The sequence below is a fragment of the Homo sapiens genome, chromosome 4 (genome assembly GCF_000001405.40).
Source record: "Homo sapiens chromosome 4, GRCh38.p14 Primary Assembly".
Taxonomy (NCBI): domain Eukaryota; kingdom Metazoa; phylum Chordata; class Mammalia; order Primates; family Hominidae; genus Homo; species Homo sapiens.
In genome coordinates this window covers 158,112,964-158,128,839 of record NC_000004.12, presented here as the reverse complement: position 1 = coordinate 158,128,839, position 15,876 = coordinate 158,112,964, and the positions used below count along the sequence as shown (strand labels likewise).

Sequence of the window (15,876 nt, the reverse complement as noted above, 5' to 3'; positions counted from 1 at the left end):
TATAGTAATGTCTTCAGGGAACTCAGAGCATCTTATAAACATTCTTTCATTCCGCACTTCCTCACACACATTAAGCAAGTCCGGCGCCGTGGCCTTTGTTCTTTCTGCAGCATCAGAACTGCTGGAGCACCTGATCCTTGGCTTTCGGGCACCCTCTGTGCCATCTCCATTGTGCTCCATTGAAATTTGGAAGAGGTGCTTAGAAGGCCTGAAATTTCTGGCAAAGTGTACTCTTTAAGCAAGTATATATGTTCTTACTATAGTTTTTGAGGTATAACTGAGTTTATTAGAAATGTACTCTTAAAACAATATTTTTACTGTGCTTTTATCAGCATTTTAGTGAAAGTTGAGAAATGTCAAATTGGGGATTTAGCAAAATATTACTTATGTTTTTGATCTAGAAATTTTGCTAAGTCCTTCAGATAATGTATATGCTGGACTCCTGGCTTTCTAAACGAAGAAAAGCAAGCACAATGCATTCTTTTAAGGTAATTCAGCAAAGACCCCTCTAAATTGGTCTTAGGTTTTCCAGAGAGACTTTCATTGTGGAACTAAAACTTTTCTCTGAAACTTGAGTTTTGCTGAATTTATTTGAAAACATCTTAACACTCTAGCTAAATAAAATGATCCTAAATCCTCAGAGCTCCAGGAGTATAATATGACTCAGAGACAATTCTTTCTTTAATTTGATGTTTTTGAATGAATCTTATCTCATTTTAGTACACACATTTTTTATTATTTCACATAAATTCAGTTGTGTAACTTCTATTCAGGCAGAATACTTTATTGAAGTTGTCATTATCAATTTGTCTCTCATATTTTCTTGCATAAAATCCCACCTTGACACATCTGAGGATACTGTTCTACTTGACAGATTAAAGGGGTTTCCACAGGTGAAATGAGCCTAAGACTAAGAAAAGTATTTCTGCCAATCTAATAGAATCCTTTCCAATTCCATGCCTTTGTTTGAGTGTACGGAATGACCTTAAGTAAGAAGTCTGTCATGTTCTGAATGGTGTAGAATATTCAGTTCACTGGAAACACTTTCTTCTAGTATATTATTATTAAGAGAAGTGTCATCTTGGCAGTAACAAAAATGTTTTGGTTCTCAAAGATACCATTTGTTAGTGTGATTTATGACAGATTAATGAAAGGCAGGACAGTTGGGTAAGGAGTACTATTCCCAAGCAATTACTAAGATTGAAATATCATTTTATCTTTTCAGGTTTCCAGCTTCTGCAGTTTCTGTTTTGAAGAGCCAGCACTTACGGCAGAAACTTCTTCAGTCTCTGTTTCTTGATAAAGTGTATTGGGAAAGTCAAGGAGGTAGACAAGGAATTGAAAAGCTTATCGATGTAATAGAACACAGAGCCAAAATTCTTATCACCTATATCAATGCACACGGGGTCAAAGTATTACCTATGAATGAATGACAAAAGAATCTTCTGGCTAGGGTGTTAGATATATTTATGCATTTTTGGTTTTGTTTTTAAATCAAGCACATCAACCTCAAGCCCGTTTAGCAATGAGGCAGTGTAGATGAATACGTAAAATAAATGACTTTAACCAAGTAGCTATAATGGGACTTAGCACTGTATGCATACTTAAAAAGGTTTTGAAAAACAAACTACTTGAGAAATATTTGTTTATATTTTTCTCTAACATCATGCTATGTGTCAGTCTGAACATCTGACAACAGAAATTTCAGTTATTATTCTAGCTAAGTTTTGAAAACATTTGTCATGCTGTTTAATAGAAAACTGCAAACCAGAGACACTGACTCCATTAATAAACCATATTTTGTGCCGTTTTGACTGTTCTGACCAAATACTAATGGGAACAATTCTTGACGTTTTTCTGTTGCTGATTGTTAACATAGAGCAGTCTCTACACTACCCTGAGGCAACTCTACATTGGAACACTGAGGCTTACAGCCTGCAAGAGCATCAGAGCTGACCATACATTTAAACAGAAATGCTGGTTTATTTGCAAAATCACCAGTATATTTTCTATTGTGTCTATAAAAAATCAGTCATTTAAGTACAAGAATCATATTTTCCATTCCTTTTTAGAAATTTATTTTGTTGTCCCTATGGAAATCATTCACATCTGACAATTTATATGTTAAAGAGTTTTACTCTCTCTATTTTGGTCCAATTTGTATCTAGTGGCTGAGAAATTAAATAATTCTAAAGTATGAAGTTACCTATCTGAAAATGTACTTACAGAGTATCATTTTAAAATGGATGTCTCTTTAAAAATTTTGTTACTTTTACCAACAATGTAATATAATTTATGTATATTTTATTAATAATAGTGAATTCCTTAAAATTTGTTCTATGTACTTATATTTAATTTGATTTAATGGTTACTGCCCAGATATTGAGAATTGGTTCAAATATTGAGTGTGTTTCAATATATTATCTGGCTTATTTCAACATGAGTAATATGAGCAAAATAAGTTAAAACCTGCGTCTGATCAATTTTCCTCATGACTAGAACTAAAACAGTAAATTTGGACAATATTAAGCCTCAAATAATCATCTCCAAACTCCTTCTAACACTTTTTAAATCAGATTGGAAGACATGGACAAATCAGGTTCATGTGTTGCATCTTTATGTCCTTTGCCAATATCCAAGATCATCACATATGGTAGATATTCACATGGAGTTTCAAATTCAGAATAGATTACCATTACCTTCCTGCCCTTACACATCCTACTCCTTATTTAAAAGTTCTATTTGTGACTTTTCATTTCCTGAAAGTTTAAAAATACAATTTGAGAATGTTTATAATACATTCTCTCCTGTCTTTTCACGGTTACGTCTGTTATTGCTGAAATACACCACATTTTCTTTGTTCTGGTCAAGGTTAACTCAATATCTGTGTGAAAGAGAACTACTAACAACGTTACAATAGAGGCTAGATTTGAAAAAAAAAATCTATAGATCTAATTGATACAATTGTAGAACAAAATGTCAAAATAATGTTTTAAGTATAAGAGAAGATGGACCAAGGAGAGAGAGATCATTTGAAAATCTAATTGTAGCTTTTCTAGGCTCACATTCATGTACTACTTTTAGCACCCTTATGGGCTGTGCTCGCCCCCTGGACAGTTGAGCTTTGGATTATCTTCCTCTTCAATTTTCCCTCTATTGACCCGAGTGTCTCCCTCTGCTTCTACAGATTTATAGTACTCCTTGGCTCTTTTGAGTCTCCACTTTTACTCACTGTCTCTGGGATTTTTAAGATCCTTTTCTTCTCTTATAAATCATCCTCTTAATGAAAATTAGCCTAACAAAAGTTTGGAGACTGGAATCCTACTTTGAGCCACTGACTTGAAATAACTCTTTTGGCAAGTTGCCTGACATCCTGTCTTACCAAGGTGGCATATTTGCATTTTTACTGCTTAAAACATTTTTTTTTTTTTACCATCTTTATCCAAATTTATCATATTGATGGTAGGACTAACAGGCTTTTTAGAAGCTGGCTTTAACTTTGAGTCTCAAGCTACAATGCTGTTGGGCAGCCTGGTCTTCCCACGTGAGGGTTTAACTTTGTTTATTTGCCTCCAGTTATTCCAAAATGCTTATTAAATGAAAGTCCCAGGAACATGTTTATTTTAGTCACCTTTGCTTTTTAACAATTTTGTTTTGTAATCAATGAGTAATTCATGATGAATTATTTTTGACTAATGGATAGCCGAAGGCCAGGCTTTTAATTCTAATAGGTAATGTTCTTCTTTTGTCTTATTGAAACAATGAGAATACTCTGTGCATTTCAAATGCACTCCGATTATGCTGTGGTTTTATTCACATAAGCACAATATGTGTTTTATTTATAACTTCATAACAAACTTATAATATAATAATTTACCTTAGCAGACATGCAAAAGCTTATTCTTGTGTGACTTACTTTCTTTAAGCTAATAATATAAAAATAAATATGTATCTTAAAAATCTATAATAAAACATTAGAAATTAAAGATATGTGCTTTTTATTTTGCAGATGAGTTCATTTGCTTTTGTAGATGTGTTTTCAGAGCTAGGTACAGAGGAATGTTTGCTACCTTTAGCGGTGAAAAAAGAAAGAGAGTCAAGAATTTTGTTGGATTGTGTTTGTGTGTGCATATATTTGATATCATCATTATATTTGTAATCTTTGGACTTGTAATCATAGCCTGTTTATTCTACTGTGCCATTAAATATACTTTACCTTATACATAACGAATAAAATACCTAGAAGTAGATTTATTTACACACTGTCTTATGAAATTCTTATGTTTATGTCAGCACAGAACAAGCACACATTTAGAGCATTCATCTGAAAATTATATGGAAATTGAACATGGGTCAAATAAAGATGATAAAGACCTTTTTTAAAAAATTAAGTATCATAAACAATAATCAAGAACTTTCATGCATGAAAGATAACTAGAATTGACTTGTCAGATAAAGATGATAAAAATTGACACTTGGGACTACTAGAGGGGGACAAGTGTTGAAAAACTAACTCTTGGGTATTATGCTCAGCACCTAGGTGATAGGATCATTCATATCCCAAACCTCAGCATCACGCAGTATGCCCAGGCAAGAACCCAGCACATTTACCCCCTGAATCTAAAATAAATGTTGAAAAGGAAGAAAAAAAGAAAGAATTGACTTGTCAGAAAAATTATATGAAACGTGGAAATAGCCAGAAGAGAGTTTTGTGTGTTTTTTCAGTGCAATGCTGGGATTAATTTTCTATTACATAGGCTACTTAACAATGCAGGAGGGGAGAGACTTGTAGACTTTTGTTCCATAGAGATACAAATAATTTCCTTCTGGTGGAAGAGATAACCTTAATAATTGGGCATTAACCAGTTTTAAATCTAGTCCAACAATCTTATCCTAATATTGCCTATAAACATTTAGCTTTTGAAATACTCTTTTAAATGGTTTTTACCATCTCACCGGTTCCATCATTAATTGATTATTTGAATAAAATCTTTATATTCATTTAACATTTTCATACGAATCAGTTTTTTATCTTTTGAAAATTTTGCTTTAATAAACATTTGACCACAGAGCCATATAATTTTATTTCCTTGAGAGTCATGATTTTACATTTTGGAAAATTTTACTTTAATAAACTTTCAAAATACAACTTATACAATTTTTTTTTTTTTTGAGACGAAGTCTTGCTCTGTCACCCAGGCTGGAGTGCATGGCAAGATCTCAGCTCATTGCAGCCTCTGCCTTCTGGGTTCAAGGGATTTTCCTGCCTCAGCCTCCTGAGTAGCTGGGATTATAGGCGCCTGCCACCATACCCTGCTAGTTTTTGTATTTTTAGCAGAGATGGGGTTTCACCATGTTGGCCAGGCTGGTCTGGTACTCCTGACCTCAGGTGATCTGCCTGCCTTGGCCTCCCAAAGTGCTGGAATTACAGGCATGAGCCACAGCACTTGGCTAACACAATTTTATAATAAAATGGGACCATGAAGTCAGCATCTTGTCCAACAACTTCATCCTCCCGATGGAGAAACTGAGGCTTAGTGAGGCAAAGTGACTTGCCCCAGTCTATACAAACTGTTGACCTAGAATCTTCAATGTTGAAATTGACTTAGAAAGTTGGAAAGCCAAGATATTCTCAGAGATTTATTATCTACCAAGATAAAATAAGAAATCTCAACTTTATAAACCTTGAAGGTTTTACAGGCATATTCATATGTAGTAATAATTTTAGGGCACTGTTTTATGAACATTTGGAGAGCAGAATAAACAAGAAAGCTACTTATATTATGAAACTTTTGATGATTACATTGCACAGTTGATCGAGAATTTACTATGTGTTATGCTCTGTTAAACAATGCAGATACATGAATTAATAAGTAAATTTTTAACATGTTAACCATCAATCAAGACCTGTAATTGGGCTTTAAGTTATATCTTCAGTAGCAAAAACGTAGGAAAACAATTCTTTTGAGAAGTGTCCAGAAATGAACTCTTATTAGACTAGAGAGGGGATTTGGTACTCACAGTAAGAGTTTGCCTATCTATAGTTTATTGTCAATGATTGCTGCTTGAAATGATAGTTCAGAGTCACATTGTGGCTAAATGATCTAATCACCTCAATATGTTCTGCAGACATCATCATGTTCCAGTGTCGTGTTACAATAATAGATTAACACTGTTTTGCAACCTAATGAATATACTGATTTATCAGAAATGCATTAATTTATGTTCTGTGTTGTACCAGTGGTATTTAGCCTTTTATGAGATCTGGATCTCTTTGAGAAGCTGATTAAAAGTTCAGCTGTCCATACAGTTCTGTATATAGTTTCATGGGGCTCTCAGATCTGCAGATACCCATTTATGGAGCTCTTCCCTCCCAGGTCTGTGGTCTCCCAGCTTAAGAAAGCTTGCTTTCCAGTGTATTTAAGAAGATGGGAAATTATATTATTTGCATTCAGAAGATCTTCACCTAATATATTTTAAAAGCCTTGTTTTTATGCAAAGGTGAAAACTTAGGTTTTGGTAAAGAATATTTAATGAGATACTTTATTCAACCAATGAAAGTTGAGAGACAGTTTACTTTACCAATTCTTAAACATTTTCAGCCCATACCATCAATTCCAAATTCACTACCATTTACTTAATCAACTACAGAAACAAACCTTCGAGTTTATTTTCACTTCAACCTTTAATTTATTAAAAATTACCAGTTACCTGTTTTATTTGCTGTGAAATACAAAAGATCTCAGATAGTCCCTTTTAAAATTGTGTTTTGCACAGAAACAAAAAACCAAACACTGCATGTTCTCACTCATAAGTGGGAGTTGAACAATGAGAACACATGGACACAGGGAGGGGAACATCACACACCGGGGTCTGTTGGGGGGTGGTCTGTTGGGGGGTGGTCTGGAGCTAGGGGAGGGATAGCATTAGGAGAAATACCTAATGTAGATGACGGGTTGATGGGTGCAGCAAACCACCATGGCACGTGTATACCTATGTAACAAACCTGCACGTTCTGCACATGTATCCCAGAACTTAAAGTATAATAAAAAAATTGTGTTTTGGAGTATGGGAGAAATATAGTCAATGTTGAATGATTTACTGCCAGTGGTTTTCTGGGCATCACCATAATGCTCCTGCTTTTTATTAAACAATTTCCTAAACAAATGAATGAATTTTTCCTAAAGGAATTATTTCCTTGACATTTATGCAAAGAACTGTAACCATTTCTTACTGTTATTTTGGCCTGTTAGAGGAGTTTGAAGTGTCTATGCTCCTGTCATCTTTTGCCCCACTTCCAATTTACACACAGCTGTCTTATGTCAAAATATGACATCTTCACCGATTTTTAAGCTCTGTAGTCCTCCGGGATAGGGCTTTGCTGTAAGAAAGGTCTGACTAAGAAGGGTTGCTGGCAGACTGTTTTGCAACCTAAAAATGCACATGGTAAGCCAATGAAGTCACAGGATTCCTTTCTTAAAACGGCATTGCATGTGGTTAAATTTGTTCAACATTTTTTTTCATCTTAGAAAGGTACCATTTTATCCTCATGACTCCAAAGTGTATTTAGTTTGTTGATAAAAATATGCACAGTCATGTGTATATTAAGAAATCTGTGTCTTCTTTTAAGAAAGTTATCTGTATTTTGTAAGAGTACTTGTCAAGATTTCTAAAGCTTTTGAGACAAAGAGCTAACAAATAAAAAAAAAACTCTTGTCAGTGGCTTTAATCATTGCTGCAGAATAGCCAGCTGTGCTATATTTCGAAAGGCAAACTGGACTGCAGAGAGTGGGACAAGTCACTGAATAAGACTGAAACAGCTGCGATTCTGCAAGAAGTGCCGACAGTTTCTTTAGCTTCAGGACACCAGACGCTATTTGGTTTATAAAGTACCCTATGTTATTGGCTCTGCTTCTGTTTAGAAGAACAAGATATTTTGTTCTGTACACTCATTTCAGGCTCTCAAGAGTATTAAAAAACCCCATCATTCTCAGCAAACTAACACAAGAACAGAAAACCAAACACCACATGTTCTCACTCATAAGTGGGAGTTGAACAATGAGAACACATGGACACAGGGAGGGGAACATCACACACCAGGGCCTGTGGAGGGGTTGGGGCTAGGGGAGGGATAGCATTAGGAGAAATACCTAATGTAGATGACGGGTTGATGGGTGCAGCAAACCCATGGCACGTGTATAACAAACCTGCACGTTCTGCACATGTATCCCACAACTTAAAGTATAATAAAAAGGAAAGAAAAGAAAAAAGAAACAACTATGATCCAGATATTCCCTCTAACTTTCTGAGAATACATTATTATTAAACTTGCAAGATTCAGTTCTTTTGAAAGAGAATGAGCAAATAATCTGTAGCTCCTCCTAGGAGGGAGTCAATTTTCTTCTCTTTTAATCAGGTAACAAATGACAGTTATGACTTTCCCAGGAGTTTTGGTGGCTATTATGGCAATGCTATTTGCTGTTCTTATTGAGTATTGCTGTTAGTATTCCTTTGTTGCTTGTGATACCAAAAGTTTTATCTCAGACAGAAAGAATATGTTATGTTTAGAGAGGAGGGATGTGGCAGCATCCAGAGAAGCAAATTCCTAATTAAGGACAAATTTCTAATTAAAACCTGACTTTAGCCTGGGTTTTCTTTTTATTTATTTTATTATACTTTAAGTTTTAGGGTACATGTGCACAACGTGCAGGTTAGTTACATATGTATACATGCGCCATGTTGTTGTGCTGCACCCAGTAACTCGTCATTTAGCATTAGGTATATCTCCAAATGCCATCCCTCCCCACTCCCCCTGCCCCACAACAGGCCCCAGTGTGTGATGTTCCCCTTCCTGTGTCCATGTGTTCTCATTGTTCAATTCCCACCTATGAGTGAGAACATGTGGTGTTTGGTTTTTTGACCTTGCGATAGTTTGCTGAGAATGATGGTTTCCAGCTTCATCCATGTCCCTACAAAGGACGTGAACTCATCATTTTTTATGGCTGCATAGTATTCCATGGTATATATTGCCACATTTTCTTAATCCAGTCTATCATTGTTGGACATTTGACTTGGTTCCAAGTCTTTGCTATTGTGAATAGTGCTGCAATAAACATACGTGTGCATGTGTCTTTATAGCAGCATGATTTATAATCCTTTCAGTATATACCCAGTAATGGGATGGCTGGGTCAAATGGTATTTCTACTTCTAGATCCCTGAGGAATCGCCATACTGACTTCCACAAGGGTTGAACTAGTTTACAGTACCACCAACAGTGTAAAAATGTTCCTATTTCTCCACATCCTCTCCAGCACCTGTTGTTTCCTGACTTTTTAATGATCGCCATTCTAACTGCTGTGAGATGGTATCTCATTGTGGTTTTGATTTGCGTTTCTCTGATGGCCAGTGATGATGAGCATTTTTTCATGTGTCTTTTGGCTGCATAAATTGATAGACCGCTAGCAAGACTAATAAAGAAGAAAAGAGAGAAGAATCAAATAGATGCAATAAAAATGATAAAGGGGATATCACCACCGATCCCACAGAAATACAAACTACCATCAGAGAATACTATAAACACCTCTACGCAAATAAACTAGAAAATCTAGAAGAAATGGATAAATTCCTCGACACATACACCCCCCCAAGACTAAACCAGGAAGAAGTTGAATCTCTGAATAGACCAATAACAGGCTCTGAAATTGAGGCAATAATTAATAGCTTACCAACCAAAAAAAGTCCAGGACCAGATGGATTCACAGCCGAATTCTACCAGAGGTACAAAGAGGAGCTGGTACCATTCCTTCTGATACTATTTCAATCAATAGAAAAAGAGGGAATCCTCCCTAACTCATTTTATGAGGTCAGCATCATCCTGATACCAAAGCCTGGCAGAGACACACACACACATAAAAGAGAATTTTAGACCAATATCCCTGATGAACATCGATGCAAAAATCCTCAATAAAATACTGGCAAACCAAATCCAGCAGCACATCAAAAAACTTATCCACCATGATCAAGTGGGCTTAATCCCTGGGATGCAAGCCTGGTTCAACATATGCAAATCAATCAACGTAATCCAGCATATAAACAGAATCAATGACAAAAACCACATGATTATCTCCATAGATGCAGAAAAGGCCTTTGACAAAATTCAACAACCCTTCATGCTAAAAACTCTCAATAAATTAGGTATTGATGGGACGTATCTCAAAATAATAAGAGCTATCTGTGACAAACCCACAGCCAATATCATACTGAATGGGCAAAAACTGGAAGCATTCCCTTTGAAAACTGGTACAAGACAGGGATGCCCTCTCTCACCACTCCTATTCAACATAGTGTTGGAAGTTCTGGCTAGCCTGGGTTTTCTAAATCCCAGAACTGGGGACCTTTTGAGTCAGATAATTCTTTGTCACGGGTAGCTGACCTGTGGATTGCAAGATGTTCAGTAGCATCCCTGGACTCTACCCATTAGATGCCAGTAGCAGCCCCTATAGGTGTGACAGCAAAGAATTCTCTAGACATTGCACAATGTCTCTGGGAGGCACAATCATTTCCCAGTTGAGAACCACTGCTTTAGCCCATTGATAGTCCTTTATAAAGGGTAACACTTTCACCATTTTTTGGTTTTCTCACATTTCATTTATGAAGATTTTCTCTGTCAAATTCCTTGTATTGTAATTTATGGCCACATTGTATGACATTGGTAATAGCCCTAGGAGGTCTGATGGTTTGGAACAAAGGATGCTTGAGCAAAGCCACATGAGAGTCAGAAGGAAGAAGCATCTTGAGCTCTGAAATAAAATGTAGAGGTGAAGAATAAATCTGGGAGCATATAATAAATTAAGTATCAGGGTGAAAATTTTAAAATGGGTTGTTGTTGCAGATAAGAGTGCTTGCAAATCTGTGTTTTCCATCCTGTGTCCCAGGACTCAGTATCTGTATTCTTTAAGAAGATAACCTGGACTGTAAAGAAGCTGATTCCCCTCAGGAACCTTGTGGGAGCCTCCTCTGAAAGAGGAACAAAGAAATGGAAAGTAGGTTTTTCCCTACCAGCAATAGAGGAGAAAGAATAGCAAAATGCACTAGAGTGGAATTGTTTTAGCCATGATATAGTCAGCCACCATGGAGCAGTGCAGTCACAGTGTCAGTCAGGGTAGGTTAAGTAAAGCTATGGTAACAAAATGCCATTAAATCTCAGTGGCTTAAAACACAAAGGGAGATTTCTCATAGCACATGTCCATCACAGATTGGCAGGAGAGTTTTACTCTTTGTAGAATTTTATTCTATTTTATTAAAATGGTAGCCTTTTTTCTTTTTATTGATGCATAATACTTTTCCATATTGATGTACATGTGATATTTTGATACATACATACAATGTAATGTATTTGTAATGAATAAATCAGGGTTATTAAGATATCCATGACCTCAAACATTTCTTCTTCACCTAAACAATTTATTTCAGAGCCCAAGATATTTCTTCCTCCTGAGCTTCACGTGGCTTTCTCAAAGCTCCCTTTTCCCAGAAACCCGGGCTGATGGAACAGCCTGAATGCTTCCATCTCTGTGCCTGAGCGGGACAAAGTTCTGAAGGGCCTTTCACTTCCACACACAACTCACTGGACAAAAGTAGCCGGAAAAGGAAAGACACTAGAAATATCTGGTGAATAATGTTAACTGCAGTGTATGGTGAAAGCTACACGTGGCACCTCTCATTATATCTGAGACAGCACAACTTAAACTTATTATTGTTTTTCCAATAACCTTTTACTTTTGGGAACCTTCCACCCCAGTCCACCCTAATCTCACGTCTGCCCTGGATTCCAGGCCATAGTGAATAGGTCCTGTGATGTACATATGACTTAAGCTGGGCAAATCACAATCTTCTTTTTCAGCTCTGTTTCATGTCATAATTCATTGGTTCAAAATTGAACACCTGACCTAAGTGGGCCAATCTGAATACTTCCCTCAGAATTTTATTTTATTATAATGGTGAAATTTTTTCTTTTTAAAAATTGATACATAATAATTGTGCATATTTATGAGGTATGTATGATATTTTGATATATACACACAATGTGTAATGATCAAATCAGAGTTATTAAGATATGCATGGCTGGAAACATTTATCATTCCTTTGTGTTGGAAACATTTTAAATCTTCTCTCTAGCTATTTTGAAATATGTAATAAATTAAAAGTGTATTGATAAATATAGTCACCTTACCCTGCTATCAAACATTAGAACTTACACCTTCTATCTAACTGTATGTTTGTACTCATTAGCCAACCTCTCTTCATCCCTCCCATTCCCCACCCCCGCCATATACTTCCCAGTGCTCTGGTAATCATTATTCTACTCTCTACCTCCATGAAATAACTTTTAAGTCCTGCATATGGTGAGAACATGTGATATTGTCTTTCTGTGCCTGGCTTATTTCACTTAACATTATAACCTATAAGTCCCTTAGAATATTAGAACTGAAAATGAGGAAAAGAAACCAGGACCAAAGACTAAAGTAATAATGTATAATCTTCCAGTGATTTTAGCCATGATTTCTTCTATGTGAGCTGGAGAAACTTAATTGTAGGTAGAGAAAGAGAGAAGAAATATGGAAACAGATACCCAAGGAAGATCTGATGTGAAAGGAATCTTGTGGCTTTTGATTTCTTTGTTAGTTGCTTTAAAGTTTCCTCCTAGTTCTTGGTTTCTGTGAAATGACTGAGTATCCTTTTATAATTCACCTTTTAGCTAATGCTTAATCTAAATGGATCATTCTTCTGATACTTACAATGAACAGAAAATCTATAATTTATTTCTAAAGAAATTTCTTTGTTTATTCATCAATTTTAGAAAGTATATCATTATTCTTCCTATGACAGATTAAAAAGTTTGTGCTCTTAGATTTTTCCCCTACTTCCTCCATTCACAAATTAACTTTTAAAAAATTTACCATCATTCTTACATTGTTACTATCCTTAATATTTACCTTCTGTTTCCTACTCTGTCACAGGTGCATTAGTTCTATATTTGAATGGATTTCATGCCCACCATCAATTACAACTTCTTCCTTCCTGATGTTTTTATTTTATTTCATTCATTTCATTTTTGACTGGCTTCATTATCAAGCAATTTTTACATACCTACTCATAAGTTCCATCTTCACTGAGCTTTGTTCATTTGTGAATCTCACTCTGTTATGTTTATGTATGTAAACAATGATCTGGCTGATATAAAATCTGGAGTTCTTATTTTTTCCCTTGAAAGTCTGTAGACATATTCTAGCACTGTCATCTGACATTGAACATTGTGATAAGATTTCTGAGGCAACTCTGTTTTTTTTCCCTCTAACTTTTAGGTGATTTGCTTTCCAATTTTAAGGCTCATTGAATTCTTTCTTGATTTTTTTTCTTTTTTTTTTGGATTTATTTTTCCTTCATATATTCTTTGAGGAATACGTTCTCAGGACTCATCTTAAAGTTGGTCATTCTGTATTGTATTTTCCTGAAACAAAATATGCTATCGACATATTTACATTTTACTTTATTTTAGGAAGATTTTACAATATATATTTGAACATATTTTTGGTTTTGTTTGTTCTATTTTCAGGTTAAGAAAAACTTATGATGTGTGTATGGAATCTGCTTTCAAATCAATTTTATTTTCCTTCTTTGCTTCCTTTTCTTTATTTTTTCTTTATTATATGTACTATTTCCTCAAGTGTTTTCTTTATATACCTCATTCTATTTCAGCAATATCTATTCTACTTCTTACTGCTTCTAATTAGTTTTAATTCTTCCAATTACTTTATTATCTTCAAGTCTCTTTTCTGCTTTTCCAGCTCAGTTTTCATCTTTCAGTGATTTGTTTGCTATAAATTTTTCATATTTGTTTTGATCTAGGTTTTCAGAGAAATTAAAGTTTTTGGAATTGAATTTAAATTAATTGACATTGAATACTGCATTACCATATCAGCATCAAGATACAGATTTCCATCACTGTAGAATGTCTGTTGACCAATGCTGCTCTAGAGCACAGGTATTGCTCTGTACTTTTGTGTGGGATATACTATGCATTTTCTGTGCTCAGCAGCAGTTACTGTTTTGTTCTTGTCTTCTGACTTCCCTCCCTACCTACCAGGCAGCATATCTAGGTTAGGGCTTTGTTCTCAGAATAATAAGACAGAGTATCTCTAGGTACTAGGTTAGGGCTTTGTTCTCGCAATAATAAGACAGCATCTCTAGATACTAGGTTAGGGCTTTGTTCTCAGAACAATGAGACAGAGTATCTTTAGAGACACTAAGTCAGCCCTCCTCCTGTGCTTTTCCATGCTGCAGAACTAGACCCCCACAAATATGCACCCCCTTCCTCCCATCTCCAGTCTTTGAAAGACCAAATAAAAGATCCTTCTTAGGTATCTTAGAACCCAATTAAAAACAAAAAAGCTACACATTGCTTATTACCTGGGAAATATGCATAGTTGTTTTGGTTCTCCTCCAATTGGCGTAAATGCTACTATATATAGCTGCTATTTCTCCTAGGCTCTATTTTTGGTAGTAGTCATTTTACCAGTTTTATGCTAAATGCAGCATTCTTTCCCATAGTTTCATCCTCTTTATTTATTTCAGTGATTTGCAACAAATAATGTTTTGCTCTTTTTCCTATTTTGTTTTATTGAGAGGTTATTATAAATTCTTTAAAAAGGCAGCCATGTGATGAAGATATTTGTTAGAGTAGATTGGTGTGTATGTTGTGGAAAGGAATAAGGAAGACATGGGAAGTAATTTAGAAAGTTCTAGGAGTTACATAGGCATGAAATAATCAAGGAATGAAGTAGGATGGGACTAATTCTGAAGTGTTTTTGTACATAATTGTGGACCATTACATATTTTAAGATTCAAAGGTAATTTACTAACCATTCTAAGAAAAATATCGTTGCTAAGGGAAACAGCTTTAAAAACGTTCTAGAAACACTATGCAAAACAGGCGCTTCAGGCTTTAGATATACTTTTCTTAGCTTTAGTCACACCAATAGTCTTCTCTAAAGAGCTGATCTAAACCAGAGAGAAGATCACCTGAGGATACATCATTGAGAAAAATTTAGACACACACACACACACACACACACACACACACACACACAAAACAGCCAATCCATATAAAGAGTTAGATTGTTTTCTTTTTCTCTTTTCATAATGAACAGACTGATTTATTTTCACAGTTGCCTATACACCAAGCTACTAGGATGACCAGGATAAGAGGCTCAACTCAGGCTGAGTTACCCCAAACCGTGAGATTCCATTTACACTTTGGGATTTTCGTGGCTCAAGTAGTGCTCAGCTGGCGATGATTAAAGAATTCACTTGCTAATTTGATTTCTCTAGGGCTTTATTTACTCCTTCATGTAACAAATATTTACTGAGTGCCAACTATATGCCAGGCATTGCTTTAGGTCGTGGGATAGCTCAGGGAACAAGAATTGAATGCATTTGTCTCTAGTAACTTCCTTTCTTCAAGCCTTTAATCATTAAACTGTAACAGTTAATGTCTGTGTGTATAACAGAATCAGGAACATTAGCCAGATACTATTCATACATAAGAGAAATTTATTTTATATAGAATTCCCTTAGTCTTCCCCTTCTGTTCTTCAAATGTTCCTACTAAAAAAAAAAAACATTAGTTTTCAGACATCTTTGAAAAGATAATCAGAATCTTTTGTATAATATAAAATACCCTTCGTAATAGCTCTAGTCAATGTATTTTTTTTTTTTTTTTTGGTCAGTAATTGTGTATTTTGTGCAATTTTACATTCTGGTCTTCTTCCATTTTATCCTTGGTAGAAAAAAACCTACCCTATAAATCATGACAA

At 35.3% G+C, this 15,876-nt stretch overlaps 1 protein-coding gene across 6 annotated transcripts in view; it reads left to right on the top strand.

Annotated features, from left to right (window-relative positions):
* The window catches only part of GASK1B (golgi associated kinase 1B), a 48,552-nt gene extending 44,186 nt beyond the window's left edge, over positions 1–4,366 (top strand). For all 6 annotated transcript variants that reach the window (XM_024454079.2, NM_001128424.2, NM_001031700.3 and 3 more), the window contains one exon: positions 1,226–4,366. In XM_024454079.2, coding sequence (XP_024309847.1) covers positions 1,226–1,433 — 208 coding nt within the window. In that variant the 3' untranslated portion in view covers positions 1,434–4,366. The remainder of the gene's footprint in view (positions 1–1,225) is intronic.
* The last annotated feature ends 11,510 nt before the right edge of the window (positions 4,367–15,876 follow it).